We start from the raw sequence: 15,569 nt of genomic DNA, 5'->3' as shown, positions 1-15,569 counted from the left end.
CTGCTCTTATACATCTTTAGCAAAGACCACAATTCACACTGAGCAGAAACAGGCATTCAAATATTTTGATGGCAAATTTTAACACATCAAGTTCTGTCAGCAATGAGGAACTGCCCAAGTTATTTCATGGCATCAAATACTGCTTGGCCATCAACCAAAATATATCTTTTAAGGAAGATAACAGCCGGGTGCAATGGCTCATGCCTGTAATCCCAAGAACTTCGGGAGGCCAAGGAGGGCAGATCACTTGAGGTCAGGAGTTCAAGACCAGCCTGGCCAACATGGTAAAACCCCATCTCTACTAAAAATACAAAAATTAGCCAGGCATGGTGGCACGCGCCTGTAGTCCCAGCCACTTTGGAGGCTGAGGCAAGAGAACCACTTGAACCCGAGTCGGAGGTTGCAGAGAGCCGAGATCGCGCCATTGTACTCCAGCCTGGGCATCCCAGCGAGACTCTGTCTCAAAAAAAAAAAAAAAAAAAAGGAAGATAAGCAACATTATTTAATTTCATGAAAAGAAACTAGCTGTTTGGCTGCAACTTGCAGGAAAAGTTGAAGCCAAATTTTTTCATGATTATTTACAGTTATGGGCACATACATTACAATATAAATTTTTCTAGCTCTTTCAAAGAACCTTCATGTGAAAGAGCTCCCCACAAATAGGTCTGGAAGATGTAGCCACCTCTATCACTCCCATCTTAACGGTCAGAAATCAAGTCAGTTAAGTGACTTGTCCAAGGTCACATAGGGCAACACTAGGACTTAAATCCAGTTGTTACTCTGTAGCTCATGGTCTTACCTATACCAAGAAGCTGAGAGCATTTTTCAAGCCACTCTTCCCCTTTCATCTCCAAAATCCCCCACGGTCCCCCACCCCCATCTATATAACGTGGGGAAAAATCCATCAAAACTCAACACTTGCAGGCAGGCACAGTGGCTCACGCCTGTAATCCCAACACTTTGGGAGGCCGAGGTAGGCGGATTACCTGAGACCAGCCTGGCCAACATGGTGAAACCTAGTCTCTGCTAAAAAATATCACAATTAGCTAGGCGTGGTGGCGGGCGCCTGTAATCCCAGCTACTGGGGAGGCTGAGGCACGAGAATCGCTTGAACCCAGGAGGTAGAGGTTGCAGTGAGCCTAGATTGCACCACTGCACTCCAGTTCCAGCAAAAAAACAAACAAACATCAAAACAAATAAAAAAAACCCTCAACATTTGGGGCAGGGGGAGGCATTCTATGGCTTGAAAACTAAGAAGTGTCCTTTGTTTCTGCAAAGGAATGAAGGCAGACTTTGGGCATCTTCTGAGGGTCAAACCCAACTTGCATAACTCATTGGAAGTTGACAATCAGGCAAAAGCTGGAATTGGTCCTTAAATCCACTGATATCGACAGAGGCCAGACTTAGTGTAAAAATCCCCAATCCATCAATGCCAAATTGCTCTGAGGTGTTGGGGCCAGGGTGAGAGGGTATGGGGACAGGAGCAGGAGATGAGCTCCATTCCCGGCAATCTGGAATAGAATATGCCCAGAGGATGCACCTCACCCTGATACTGTGAGATGGAGTTATCATTTCAAGAGATTAACAAAACTCAAAGCTTTCTCCCTTGCTAAATTATCGTTCTGGTAATACTTACTATTAAATGAATTTTGGAATGACAGGCGGTTTTTTGCAAGATGGTTATACTCAGTTTTTGGCTAAGAGACCAGAGCCCATTTATGCTTTTTAACGTTCTCCTTAATGACTTAGAAAAGGTCAAAGCAGGAAGATAAAATACAAAAAACAAAAACATTTAGAGGCTGGACACGGTGGCTCACACCTGTAATCCCAGCATTTTGGGAGGCCAAGACAGGCGGATCACCTGAGGTCAGGAGTTCAAGACCAGCCTGGCTAACATGGTGAAACCCCATCTCTACTAAAAATACAAAATTACCCGGGCACGGTGGCATGTACCTATAGTCCCATATACCCGGGGAGGCAGGAGAATGCTGGAACCCAGGAGGCAGAGGTTGCAGTGAGCCAAGATAATGCCAACTGTACTCCAGCCTGGGCGACAGAGCAAGACTCCATCTCGAAAAAAAAAAAAAAAAAAAAAAATTCAGGCAGTAAATTTAGTATTAAGCAGATTTTTAAGGGTTAATTTCAAAAAGCTACACTTGTCAATAACACATGTTACTGTCACATAAATAGCAATGTGGAAAGAGTGCTAGACTAGGAGTCAGGACAGTTTCTGATGAAGTCATTTCATAACCAGGCCTCAGCATTCCCATTTGTAATGGAGAAGCTTCTTCTATGAAGACTTAAGGCCTTTCTTGTGATTTGATTCCTCTTCAGATGCCTCCTCCAATGCACACACACGCACACACAAACACACACACACACACACACACACAATACCATGACATTAATGCTTACTAAATATTCTAGTTGCTGAGATTAGACTGTTCCATTGAGCAAGTTGATCTGCTTCCTTGATATGCCACAGTTTCCCTTCCTCTCCCCAGCCCCCACACAATATCTTGGCTTTAAAGATTAGTGGTGACAGCAGGGCATCGTGGCTCACGCCTGTAATCCCAGCACTTTGGGAGACAGGCAGATCACCTGAGGTTGGAGTTTGAGACCAGCCTGACCAACACAGAGAAACCCCCTCTCTACTGAAAATACAAAATTAGTTGGGTGTGGTGGCTCATGCCTGTAATCCCAGCTACTCGGGAGGCTGAGGCAGGAGAATCACTTGAACCTGAGAGGTGGAGGTTGCAGTGAGCCAAGATCGTGCCATTCCACTCCAGCCTGGGCAACAAGAGCAAAACTCCATCTCAAAAAAAAAAAAAAAAGAAAAGAAAAAAGAAAAAAAGAAAATTATCCAGGCATGGCGGTGCACTCCTGTACTCCCAGCTACTCAGGAGGCTGAGGCAGAAGAATTGCTTGAACCTGGGAAGCGGAGGTTGCAGTGAGCCGAGATCACATCACTGCACTCCAGCCTGGGCGACAGAGGGAAAGTCCGTGTCAAAAAAAAAAAAAATTAGTGCTTTCTAGTGGGGGACAGTGGCTCATGCCTGTAACCCCAGTACTCTAGGAGACTGACATAGGAGGATTGCTATCACTTGAGGCCAAGAGTTCAAGATCAGTGAACTGGGCAACAAAGTGAGAACCCTGTCTCTACAAAAAAATTATAAGAAAAATTAGTGGTTTTCAAACATGTCATATAAAATGTAAATTGGGGCCAGATGAGGTGGCTCACGCCTGTAATCCCAGCACTTTGGGAGGACAGGCAGGAGGGTGGCTTGAGCCCAAGGGTCAGACACAAGCCTGGGCAACATGGTGCAACCCAGTCTCTACAAAAAGAATTTTTTTTAATTAGCCGGGCATCGTGGCATGCACCTTCTCAGAAGGCAGAGGTGGGAGGATCACTTGAGCCGGGAAGGTTGAGACAGCAGTAAGCTGTGATTGCACCACTGCACTCCAGCCTGGGTGACAGAGCAAGACTCCATCTCAAAAAAAAAAAAAAAAAAAAAAAGTTTACAATTGCCTTCAATTGTAGGGCACTGTGCTATGAGACTTTATATTTCAGCTCTACTCCTTACAACACCGCAAAGAGTTACCCTCATTTTACAGATGCAAAAACTGAGGCAAAGCAGAATCTAACCTAGAATCAGAGTGCTCAAGCAAAGCCAAATAATAGACACTTGATTAAGACTGCCTATCAGGAGTCTTACATTTTTCCAACTGTTACCTAAACTTTCTACTCTCCTGCTCAATGCTTATCTACAACATTTCTGGAAGCATTTTCAGTACAAATCTATTGATAATCCTAAGTAATAGAAATATCTCCCTTTGACACTGATCTCGGAGGGCACAGACCAAAATGTGGAGATATATGATCTAAACTCCTGAATTCCTTTAAGTGTCCAATACATGGTAATAATGGCTGCTGATGCCACTCATTCACAATTCTCATTTCTAAAACACCAGTGCTTAAGTAGTCATCCAATCTATATTTAGCAGCAAAACTTAAGTGCAGATTTTTTATACAACAGCATTTTAATAATTATCCCAATTAGTCCCAAAAGAGTATGAAACGACTTCCCCAAATCCACTGGCATTTCAAGAAAAACATTTTAACTGCAAAAGGTTAAGACGAGAAGAAAATGGCTGGCCAAACTTTCCAGAAGTAACAGCTACAGGATGCAGCAGCCAACAGATGTTTACAAAGGCTCTCATTCTCAGAGGCGCCTGACCTGATTGACCACTCAGGCTCCAAGGTCCATTCAAGGGCCCCTGGAATTCACAGGGTGTCAGAACCAGGAGGGTATGTCCTCAGTCTACACAACTGATCTGCACCCACTTTATTCTTTTTTGTGCCCACTGCTCTGCTTTAAAACCTATTAATGTTGACAAAATGTGCTATTCTGCAGAAGCTCTTATAGATAAATGATCACAATCAAGAATTATCCCCCCTTGCAAGGCGCGGTGGCTCACGCCTGTAATCCCAGCACTTTGGGAGGCTGAGGCGGCAGATCACCTGAGGTCAGGAGTTCGAGACCAGCCTGGCCAATATGGCAAAACCCCATCTCTACTAAAAATACAAAATTAGTCAGGCATGGTGGTGCATGCCTGTGATCCCAGCTACTCGTGAGACGAGGCAGGAGAATCGCTTGAACCCAGGAGGCAGAAGGTACAAGGAGCCGAGATCACACCATTACACTCCAGCCTAGGCAACAGAGTGAGACTCCACCCAAAAAAAAAAAAAAGAATTATCCCCCTACCCTTCATGACAAAGGACCTCATTCCCAATAATCACAACTTCAATATGCTAACATAATTACTGAAAACAGTATTTTTATTGCTAAAGACTACTACTTCTATGTGGAAAATTGTTTTTGAGTGAAATACAACTGACTGCTAATTTTTTGTGCCAACTGATAATTTATAGCTTCACTAAAAACAAACTCATAGCCCGGGCGCGGTGGCTCATGCCTGTTAATACCAGCACTTTGGGAGGCCGAGGCGGGTGGATCATGAGGTCAGGAGATCAAGACCATCCTGGCTAACACAGTGAAACCCCGTCTCTACTAAAAATACAAAAACAATTAGCCGGGCATGGTGGCAGGCACCTGTAGTCCCAGCTACTGGGAAGGCTGAGGCAGGAGGATGGCGTGAACCCAGGAGGCAGAGCTTGCAGTGAGCTGAGTTCGCACCACTGCACTCCAGCCTCAGGGACAGGACAGAGCAAGACTCCGTCTCAAAAAAACAAACAAAACACAAAACTCACCTGACCGGGTGTGGTGGCTCACACCTGTAATCCCAGCACTTTGGGAGGCCAAGGTGGGTGGACCATTTGAGGTCAGGAGTTTGAGACCAGCCTGACCAACATGGTGCCACTACACTCCAGCCTGGGTGACAGAGCTCCCTCTCAAAAAAAAAAAAAAAAAAAAAAGAACTCACCTGATGGGAATTAAAGTTCTGGTTAGGAACCATCTAGGATTAGTAGAAAATCTACAGTAAGGATGACAAAAAAAACTATTAGCCTAAGTCTAATATGAGTATCTCTAAAACTCAGGTTTGGATGGGAGTTTGTTTGTGAGACATAGTCTTGTTCTATCGCCCAGACTGGAGTGCAATAGCATGATCCTGGCCCACTGCAACCTCCGCCTCCCACGCTCAAGTGATTCTCCTGCCTCAGCCTCAGTAGCTGGGATTCGTCCGGCTAATTTTTGTATTTTGAGTAGAGATGGGGTTTCACCATGTTGGTAGGCTGGTCTCGAACTCTGGGCCTTATGTGATCTGCCCACGTCAGCCTCCCAAAGTGCTGGGATTGCAGGCGTAAGCCACCGCACCCTGCCTGGATGGGAGTTGAGTGGGATCTTCCCCCATTTCATTTCATTCTACCACCTTCAAAGCCAGTTGTAAGCAAACTGCATTTATCTACAGCATGAGGAAGGCAAGAGATGGCATGGGAGAGGCAAAGATTTACTTTGGAATATCGTTTAAGTCAAACAGTTTCAAATGTAAAGGGACACCACTAGGCCCCCTACTCCTCCCACTTTTTAGGTTGACAAGTCAGAGTCTTGTCAATCAAAACAGTCAATCTGGTTTCAGTCAACTCAGTTTGTGAGTATAGACAAAACCTCAAAAGGAGGGGAATAATTTAGTATTGAACAAGCAGGAGGTCACATCAGCTTTAGAGGAAAGATGGATCAAGCTTACTCTTGCAAGCCACAATGCTTGAAAGGTCAAGAAGAAAAGCGGTAACGGAGTAGGCTTCAATGGGTGGCATCTTGCTCCCTTAAGGCAACTGTAATTCTTTATCATTATCTTTCTCTTGCTCGCTTCCAAAATGTCAGAGATAGCAAAAACAGCCTTAGTGAGCCAGGCCTTTAACCTTTATTAGTTTTATGGGTGGGAGTGGGAGAAGGGGGGAAGCAGTATTTTGAAACTGCCTGCATAGTATAGAATTCATCTCACCCTTTTGCCTGTCAAAAATGACACTGAAATGGTCCTTTATTTGCTAAGAATGAACACAGACAAAATAAACCTTGCCCTGTGTAGAGAACTGGATGGAGAAATGGCAAACCATGTGACTTTTAGCACCAGAAATAACTCAGAGGGGGTTAAATTTTAGAGCTACAGAATTATTTAATGAAAATTTCTCTTGAACCAGAAAAATTTATAAACACGTTTTACCCTGGCAAACCACTTAAAAAAAAGCGTTTTAGCCATTTAACTTCATTGACAGCTTCCACAAGAGCTAACTCCCTTACTATATATGCACGATTATTAGTTCCTTTTTTCAGTGAAAAGACATAAAGCCCAATTATGCTCATAATTTTACATGTGAGGAGAAAGTTGCATCCATATTAAGTAGTACTTGAGGAAACTAGACATTTAAGCCTCCTGAGATCCTTCTAGAAAAGGACTACCTAAGGGCCAGGCACAGTGGCTCACACCTGAATCCCAGCACTTTGGGAGGTCGAGTTAGGCAGATCACCTTGAGGTCAGGAGCTCAAGACCAGCCTGGCCAACATGGTGAAACACCGTCTCCACTAAAAATACAAAAATTAGCCAGGCATGGTGGCACATGACTGTAGTCCCAGCTACTTGGGAGGCTGAGGCTGAAGAATTGCTTGAACCAGGGAGGCGGAGGTTGCAGTGAGCCAAGATCGCGCCACTGAACTCCAGCCTGGGTGACACAGCGAGACTCCATCTCAAGAAAAAAAGAAAAGAAAAGGACTATCTAGCCCAGCGAGGTGGCTCATGACTGAAATCCCAGCATTTTGGGAGGCCTAGGTAGGCAGGTCGCTTGACCTTGGGAGTTTGAGACCAGCCTGGGCAACATGGCGAAACGCCATCTCCACAAAAATTACAAAAATTAGCCAGGTGTGATGGCTAGAGCCTGTAGTCCCAGCTACTTGAGAGACACAGGCAGGAGGATCTCTTAAGCCTGAGAAGTCAAGGCTTTAAGGAGCTGTACAACTGCACTCCAGCCTGGGATGAGTGAGACTCAGCCTTAAGAAAAGGACTAGGGCCAGGCGCGGTGGCTCTTGCCTGTAATCAATCCCAGCCCTTTGGGAAGCCGAGGCAGGTGGATCACCTGAGGTCAGGAGTTAGAGACAAGCCTGGCCAATATGGTGAAACCCCGTCTCTACTTAAAAAAAAAAAAAAGAAAGAAAAAAAATTAGCCGGACAAGGTGACGAGCGCCTGTAATCCCCGTTACTTGGGAGGCTGAGGCAGGAGAATCACTTGAACCCGTGAGGTGGAGGTTGTAGTGAGCCAAGACTGCACCACCGCACTCCAGCCTGGATAACAAGAGTGAAACTCCATCTCAGAAAAAAACAAAAGGACTAAATAAAAGTATTAAGTAAGTAGCTATAATACAATGGGAGGGAGAACTAGATGGGAAATGGCAATTTTTACCTAATCTTCAAACACTTTTTTTTTTCTTTTTTTGAGACAAGTCTCACTGTTGCCCAGGTTGGAGTGCAGCGGCACGATCTCGGATCACTGCGGCCTCCGCCTCCCCAGTTCAAGCAATGCTCCTGCCTCAGCCTCCTGGGTAGCTGGGACTACAGGCACGCGCCACCACGCCTGGCTAATTTTTGTTGTATTTTTAGTAGAGACAGGGTTTCACCATGTTGGCCAGGATGGTCTCGATCTCTTGACCTCGTGATCCGCCCGCCTCGGCCTCCCAAAGGCGCGGTGGCTCACGCCTGACCCTCTTCAAACACTTTTAGGAAGATTTCCCTGTATCTTTTTAGATAGTCTCGCTCCGTCACCCAGGCTGGAGTGCAATGGCATGATCTCGGCTCACTGCACCCTCGGCTCACTGCAACCTCCGCCTCCTGGGTTTCCCCATTTCAAGTACAACTATTTCACTTTGAAAACAATGTCAATGATAAAGAACAAATACCGTTGTCAAATGAAGAACTGGAAGTCTAGAAAAAGTAACGTTTTTTTCCCCAAATATCTTGTCTTCCAAAATGTATATTCCTAGAATTGGAAATAAAAATCTTGTATCAAATCTATGCAATCCCCAAACCACTAAAACCACTATAGTTTATCTTTGTAAAGGAAGGAAACTGAACAAATAATCACAAAAGGTTTCCCAGACAGTGCTGATACCACAACAGCCTCCATACTACTAGCACAGTTTATGACAGGTTATGCCTTCAAGGCAACCTCATCAGCACAGGCTTGCCAAACTAGCTGTGGCCCACTTCCTGAGGGTCCATGTTGAAAAATCCATTCCTATGCACTTTAATGGAACTACCTTAAGCCCACAAAGGCTAAGCAATTAACATATCAATAACGAACATTTCCCTCCCATATATTTTTATCAAGCATTTTCTGAATTCAGTAGGCTTCCTAATGTCTACCTGCTGAACTGGATTCAAAGCAGCAACCTCTGTAATTATTTTCAAGGCAGTTAGGTTTGGTTTTCCAGCCAGTAGGTGAGATGTCTGCACTCAGAGGACATATTCACCCAGTAGTGTAGAGCAGGTTGAAAGCAGGTAACAGAAATACTAGAATACCCATTTCTGTTCACTTTCTCTCCTTGTCCTTCCTTTAAAAAAATTTTTTTTAAAAATTTGTTGAAATTAATATGAATCAATCGGATTCCAATTAAAATGCCAATTTCTTGTAGAAATTCTCAAAGTTTATCATAAATTTCACCAACTTAGTTACATCTGATCGCCTCTAAAGACGGAAAAGATAGGAAAGTGGTTCTTTAGCTATACCTACATTTCACACCCTTAAAAAGAGAATTACTTCGACATGCAGTGTAAGTGGGAAAATTTGTATTATGCTTTTAAAAATATTTTGGTATGGATTTTATAATTTATGCAAGAACATGAATATAATTTAAAATAAGCATGCATACACTGAGTATATGCAGACCTGAAAAAACTTAGACTTTGGGAACAGAGAATAATATACACTGGTGCTGAATACAGGTACAGTCCCATTTACAATATGACTTAAAATATACAAAACAAATTCACACAGCAACCGATTATTTTAGGCAGCAAACCTCCTTGTTCCAAGTGACTGAAGCCACTTTAAGTTTCCTGCCAGGAGACAGTCCCAGGAGTGCTCAATGTTCAGGGTCAAATCAAGTTGGAATTCTAGAACTTTTCTCTTCAGGAGGCATTTTAAAGCCCAACACAGGGACCGCATGGATTCTACCAACACCTGCACCCCTTTTTCCAACCAGACTCCAGAAAACGCCACCCCCAGACCTGCCTAACTGGGAACAATATTGCCATCCTCGGGTGGGGCGGGCTACAATGTTTTCCAGGTGGCAACAATGTCACCCCCACTGCCCCTCACCGCTAGTGACAGAGGCTTTCCTGGGTTCAAACCCTGCTCAACTTCCCGCCATTCACAGAATCCTGACGCCCAGCTTAGGCACACAACACACCCAGCATTTCTGCTGCCGGTGTCGCCTCCAAGGCTGCAAAGGGCTCACGTTCTATGTGCCAAAAGCAAAACAACACTAAAGGGTCACTTGTGAGCAGCTGGAGCAGCGCTCACAACTCCCTAGTTGTGAAACTCTTCCCCCAAAACTCAAGCGAAGACCCTACTCCATGACCAGAGCGGCCGTGAATACCCCAGCGGGTGCCTGCGGGGAGAAGAGCAGCCGCCGGCCAGGCCACGTCCCCAGAGCCGAGGCAGGCTCCGGGCTGGCCGGGCGGCGGCGCAGGCCCGCGGCGACTCTACCTGCGCCCGCCTCTCCCGGGACCCGCGGCACGCAGCGGGCCCGCGGCCAGCTGTTCCGGGGACGGCGACCTCGGATTCCTCGCCTTGGATTCCCCGCCCGGATGCCGGCTGGGCCACGGAGCCTGCAGGCCTTTCGGACTCTGGAGGCACAGAACTAGTGAAAAGCCCCAACTATGTTGTTGAAATAAGCCAAAATAAAAGAGTAGCAGCAAGTACGTCTCATTATTTCGTTGGAAAACCCAAAGATTTCCAGGTTATCATCATTACGGTTTAAAGCCAATTGCTCAGACGAGACACCTTACTTGCCAATCCTAAGAAGGCATTTTACAAGGGGATGCTTAAGGAAGAAAGTCCCCCTGGGCGAGAGACCCTGCAGGCTGGGGTAGGGTGTTTGGGCCTCCTTCCCAAGGTCAGGTGGCCTGAGTCACTATAAGGAAAAGGTGCTACTCTGAATTATTTAACGGAGCCTGTGGACAAGGGAAGCAACTCAGTTAAGGAGCTCATCTTAAAAATTGAGGTAGACAGTATACACATTAAAATATGTGGATTTAGGCATTCAGTGTATCGCAGTCCAGATATGGGTCAGTCTATCATCCTCCAAAAATGTCCTAAAGCTCCTTCCCAGCCAGAGAGGGATGACTTTTTAAAGGAACAATATTCTCAAACTGTTAACGAGATCAAAAGAAAAGGAATTATTTAAGCTGTAGGTGGAACCGTTTATGAACCTCACTACCTGTTAGTGCTGTCTCTCCTAACACTTTAGTCTTCTACTCAGAACACTGGTTTGTCACCTTTAATCTCAAATTTCTAGCGTTCTAAATCCAGGAATGAATAAAAAGGCCAAACAACTTCCGAAATGTTTTTAATGAAAAGCTAAAGGGAGCAAGCAGAATCTTGCTCAAAACTGAGCAAATTTTATGTTAAGGATTATTAGTTACTTCAACCTGACATTGCACATGCTAAAAAGTGAATTTGAAGAGCTTCCGAGTACCTCCCAGGGTGAGTGGAGAGCTTCACTTCTCAATTCACACTCCCCAATGCAGTTTGAAGGGTTTTCTAATTTTAAAAGTGAATAAATCTTTTACAAGTCTGCCAACACTGAGCATCTACTGTTTCAGCCCAAATAAAATATAGGTGTATCTTTAACTGGAAATATAAACTGACATTTAAACTAAAAGCACCTCTCAGAAGGGGAAACTCCTGGATTCAACCCCATTCTGCTCACCCTGCATTTGATCCCAAACTGCAAGTGAATTGGCTCCATTTTTCTGTTCCTGGGATTTGGATCGGTATTTACCTCAATCACTCATTTTTCTAAAAGTGATGAAAGAACATGAACCCACAGTATATTAAAACTAGGAGTCCATTCAAAGTTTAAAAACGGAAAAAAAAGATAACTGCCCCCTAGCTTCTTACCTAGAAGAAACCTTTTAAAAGGAGATGCCTACAACAAGTAGATTAGAATTTCAACTTTTTTCCAACAGGAGAAGCCAGCTAAAGGCCATCAGGCAATAGCTCCGCCCTCCTCCCCAAATAACAGGTTAGGAGTGGAAAAGGCAGCGGCGCTGGGCTCACCTTTGCGGTGCTCGGTACCCACTCTCCAGCTCACACAGGCCACGACCCCCACTATGGCTTTTAAAGCCTCTGCAGTCTCCAGCTTACGCTCTAAGTCAAGACTTTCACCCACACCCTCTCTTACCGGTCTACAGGTAGATCGCCTAAGTTACCGACCCCCTCGGCAAGAGCCCGCTTCTCAAGACTTTTGGCCTGCCTTCATTGGGTTCGGGGGAGAAGACGACACTCGCATAATACCAAAGTGGAAAGGAGAAAGGGGTCACACTGTGTGAAAAGCAAATGTTTACTCGACAGCCCAAAGGGCGAAATCGAGCCCGAGGGTTGCAATGTAGCCCTAAAAGCCTTTGCACTCCGGCGTTCCAGCAGCGTACGGCTGCCTTGGTCTTTTCCAAGGAAGTCGAGACCCTGGTTGAGCCGGGTGGATACCTCCTAACCAGGGAAACCGGTTCCTGTAGGGCTTGGAGTCGGGGCAGGCGGGCGCGGCCCAAGAGACTCAGGCTGGTGAAGGTAACGTCGTCCCTTTATTCCGCTTCTATCTCGGGGTGCAGCCGTGGGCCCACGAACGGCGATTTCACGCTAGGAGAATTCAGGGGCCAGAACACGCATTTTAAACAATATAGGAAGCAGCCGCAGAGAGAGAAGGGCTTAAGACTGGGGGCCCTTGGCCCTCAAAGATCCACAGACGCTCCCACTCTTACCCAACATAAGGAGGCAAGGACTGCCATGCTGTCCCAACAACAAAAAAACCAGTCTTCCCCTCACAAGTGCGCACGTGGAAACCAGGTCTACGGAGGCACACAAACTCCACGCACTCACCCACACAACCATCTCTTCCGGGCTCACGCCCCATTTTAAAGGCAACAATCTATGAGTTTTCCAAACAAAAATCTGAAAATAAAGGAGCGCCTTCTCAGCACGTTGGGAGGCCTCTGGTGTGCCCACAAGAGCAGGAGCAGGCCACGTCTACACAAACACACACACCTATCTCCTCCCAACTCACGCCTAACTCAAGACGATTGCCGCGTTTTGCCACACAGAAATTAAAATCAGAAAAGGGAGGACCCCACGCTATGGGATTTTTCGGAGCCCCTCGCGACACGTACACAGAATCCACTTCCACATACTTCCCAGGTCATGATCTACTTTGGTAGCAAGGACTGCCACGTAGCCAAAGGAAATACAAACCAAATCCGGAGAGGGCCTCCTCCCCTCGCTGTGGGACCGGCCGGGAAACGCTGTTGAGCACACACGCAGTTATCCGATGGACACAAACACACGCCCCCACGCACTCACCTCGTCGTCGTGGTGCTGGCAGAAGCCGAGGCGCTCGGGAAACACTGAGAGGATGGAGAAGGGCGGGCCGGGAAAGGGCGGCCCGAGCCCGAGCTGCTGCGCCGCTGCTGCGGCACCGGGACCCGGCGGGCCGCGCTCGATGTAGTGGTCCTTGGTGAGGCGCACGCGCTGGTGCGCTCGGACGCAGTTGTCGCACAGGTGCTCCTGGCAGTCGAGGCAGCGCGAAGAAGCTGCGTTGCCCTCATCGCACGAGCTGCAGCCGTGAGGACGGCGGAGCAGCAGCGCCGACGGGGAAGCGGCAGGGCCGCCGGGTGCCGAGCGGGAAGGCGCGGGCGGCTGCGGCGCCTGCGGGAGTGGCGGCGCGGAGGCGGACGCGCGCGGGTGCGCGTGGTGAGCGTGGTGCCGGTGGTTGCTGTGGCCGCCCGCTCCCGCCGGAGCGCCGGCGCGCCCGTTCTTGGGCGGCGGCTCGTCGGCAGTGGCCACCACCGCGTCGAGCAGGTTGCTAAGCAGGAAGGCGGACGAAGGCAGCGCGTCCATACCCGCCGCCTCGGCTAGCACTACTTTCTGGTCGCACACGGGGCAGCGCAGCTTGAGCGGCTCTCCCGCCGCGCCGCCGCCCGCCGCCGGCAGCCGGTGCGCCTCGAGGCAGGGGCGGCAGAAGGCGTGCAGGCAGGGCAGGACGTGTAGGCGGCGCGCCGCCGCCCCAGGGCCCCCGCCGCCGCCCCCCGACGACGTGGACGTCTGCGAGGAGGACGACGACGCGGACGAGTTGGAGGAGAGCGGCGCCGGCGAGCCGCACATCTCCTTGCACAGCAAGCAGATCTGGAAATCGGTCTCGGGGAACGAAGCCATTTGCAACCCAGCCCGGAGGAGGGAGGAGACCAGAGAGGAAGAGGAGGAGGAGGAGGAGAGAGCGGACGAGGTGGGTGGGGGAGTCACCGACTCACTCAGAAAAATGCATCGATTAGGCCTGCAATCCGGGAGCCGGCACCAGAGCAGCGCTGCCCGCTTGGCCTCGCCACGTCCGGCCCGAGCGCTGCCACCCCCGACACTGCAGGCATTAAATGCCACTATCCAGCGGCGACACAGATTCCTCCGGATAACTTGGGGGCCGCGTGCCTTCCGAAGAGGGAACGCCGGAACAAGCCCCGACAGGCGAGGGGCGAGCGGGGGCAGGGAGGTCGGAAGACTCCCTGGAGCAGCTGAGGCTTCCCTTCGCGATAGACGAAAGGAGTTCCCAAAAGGAGAGTTCGCTGTGCAGTCCCAGTCCCGGCGAGAGCAGAATTTGGTTCCACGAGTATTTGGTGCGTTGCTTTTCTTTAAACGGATTTAGTCTGTTCTTGGGAGGGGAAGGAGCCCCAAACTAGTAAAGGCGGGAGCGGTGCGTCGCCAAGCCGGTGTCTCCCCGCGCGACGTCGGCTGCCCCGCCGCATGACGCGGCGGCCAGGGGCTCCTGGGTGGCCCGGCGTGCTGCGCTTGGGGCTTGCGCACAGCCAGGCACGGCCTCCCCTGCAGGGCGGTGGGCCCCGCAGCAGCTGCAGCTCGTGGTGGCCCAGCCGCGGCCGCACGCGTGCAGTACGCACGCGCGTCCCACGCGCCTCGAGTCTTCCGCGCGCCTGCCCAGCCGGGCCGCGGCTGCCCGCGCTTAACACGCACGCGCGCCCCACGCGGCCCGGAGCCCTCGTGCCCCCGCCTCGCCTGGCCTGGGCGCCTCACGCACGCTCCTTCCCCTTCGGCTTAGCGCGCGGGGCCGCAGGTCCCCGCGGGCCGCCCTGAATTATTCATCGGCAGGAAGATATTAGATGTACCCGCTCCGCGCGGGCCGTCGTGCAATGCTATCCGAGCTCCGCGCGCGCCCTGCGCCCCTCCTCCTCCTCACGTCCGTCCTCTCTGAAACCTTGGCAGAGAAGGGGGATCACATTTCCTTTGTCATCGGGCCATTTCGCCCTCGCCTTGGTCCCCCCTCCGATCCCGAGCCTCGGGGATGGAGGCTCCTCTCGGGCGCGCTGGAATCAGTGGAACCGGCAACAGCCCCGCGCGGCGAGCTCGGGAGCCGCGTGGCCAACGCCGCCGGCTCGCGCCCGCGTCATCTTCTTTCTGAAAGGAGTCGCCGATCCGGACGCGGGTGGCCTCGGCCGCGCTGCGCCTACCGAGCTTTGCTCCCGCCGTGCCCCGGCCTCCTGGGGCTTTGCACAACTCCCCCAGTTCGGGTTGCGTGCGCGCGCGCGCGCCCCCTCTTTCTCTGCTTTGCCGCCTCTGCCTCCTCCTCCTCCTCCTCTTCTCTTCAGTACGCCGGTTATTGGGACTGATCGGAATTCGGAATCCTTTTAATCTCCAAAGGAGCAAACTCACTTCCGCCCGAGTGCTGGGAGGGGGCTGGGGGAGGGGAGGCAGGGGAGGGGGCTCCAGGCAAACAGGAAACATTAGCCCTCTCAGCACGGCCCGCTTTTGTGTGCTCCCTCCCTCCGCCCTCCAACCTCCT

The 15,569-nt window shown here is 49.5% G+C and overlaps 1 protein-coding gene across 1 annotated transcript in view, besides 1 other annotated feature; it reads right to left on the bottom strand.

Annotated features, from left to right (window-relative positions):
* Window positions 1-14,023, bottom strand: part of TRIM71 (tripartite motif containing 71) — a 79,828-nt gene extending 65,805 nt beyond the window's left edge. Inside the window, exon 1 of the mRNA NM_001039111.3 lies at window positions 13,088-14,023. Within this exon, the coding sequence (NP_001034200.1) occupies window positions 13,088-13,939 (852 nt within the window). The 5' untranslated portion in view covers window positions 13,940-14,023. The remainder of the gene's footprint in view (window positions 1-13,087) is intronic.
* Window positions 12,982-13,563: an enhancer, noted in NCBI's record as "H3K27ac hESC enhancer chr3:32859949-32860530 (GRCh37/hg19 assembly coordinates)". NCBI's record gives its function as "activates a minimal SCP1, AML or CMV promoter by ChIP-STARR-seq in naive H9 embryonic stem cells {active_cell/tissue: H9 hESC(naive)}" and the evidence as "EXISTENCE:reporter gene assay evidence [ECO:0000049][PMID:30033119]".
* Window positions 14,024-15,569: the final 1,546 nt, after the last annotated feature.

Source organism: Homo sapiens, chromosome 3 (genome assembly GCF_000001405.40).
Source record: "Homo sapiens chromosome 3, GRCh38.p14 Primary Assembly".
Classification (NCBI taxonomy): domain Eukaryota; kingdom Metazoa; phylum Chordata; class Mammalia; order Primates; family Hominidae; genus Homo; species Homo sapiens.
This window is presented reverse-complemented; position numbering and strand designations above follow the sequence as displayed.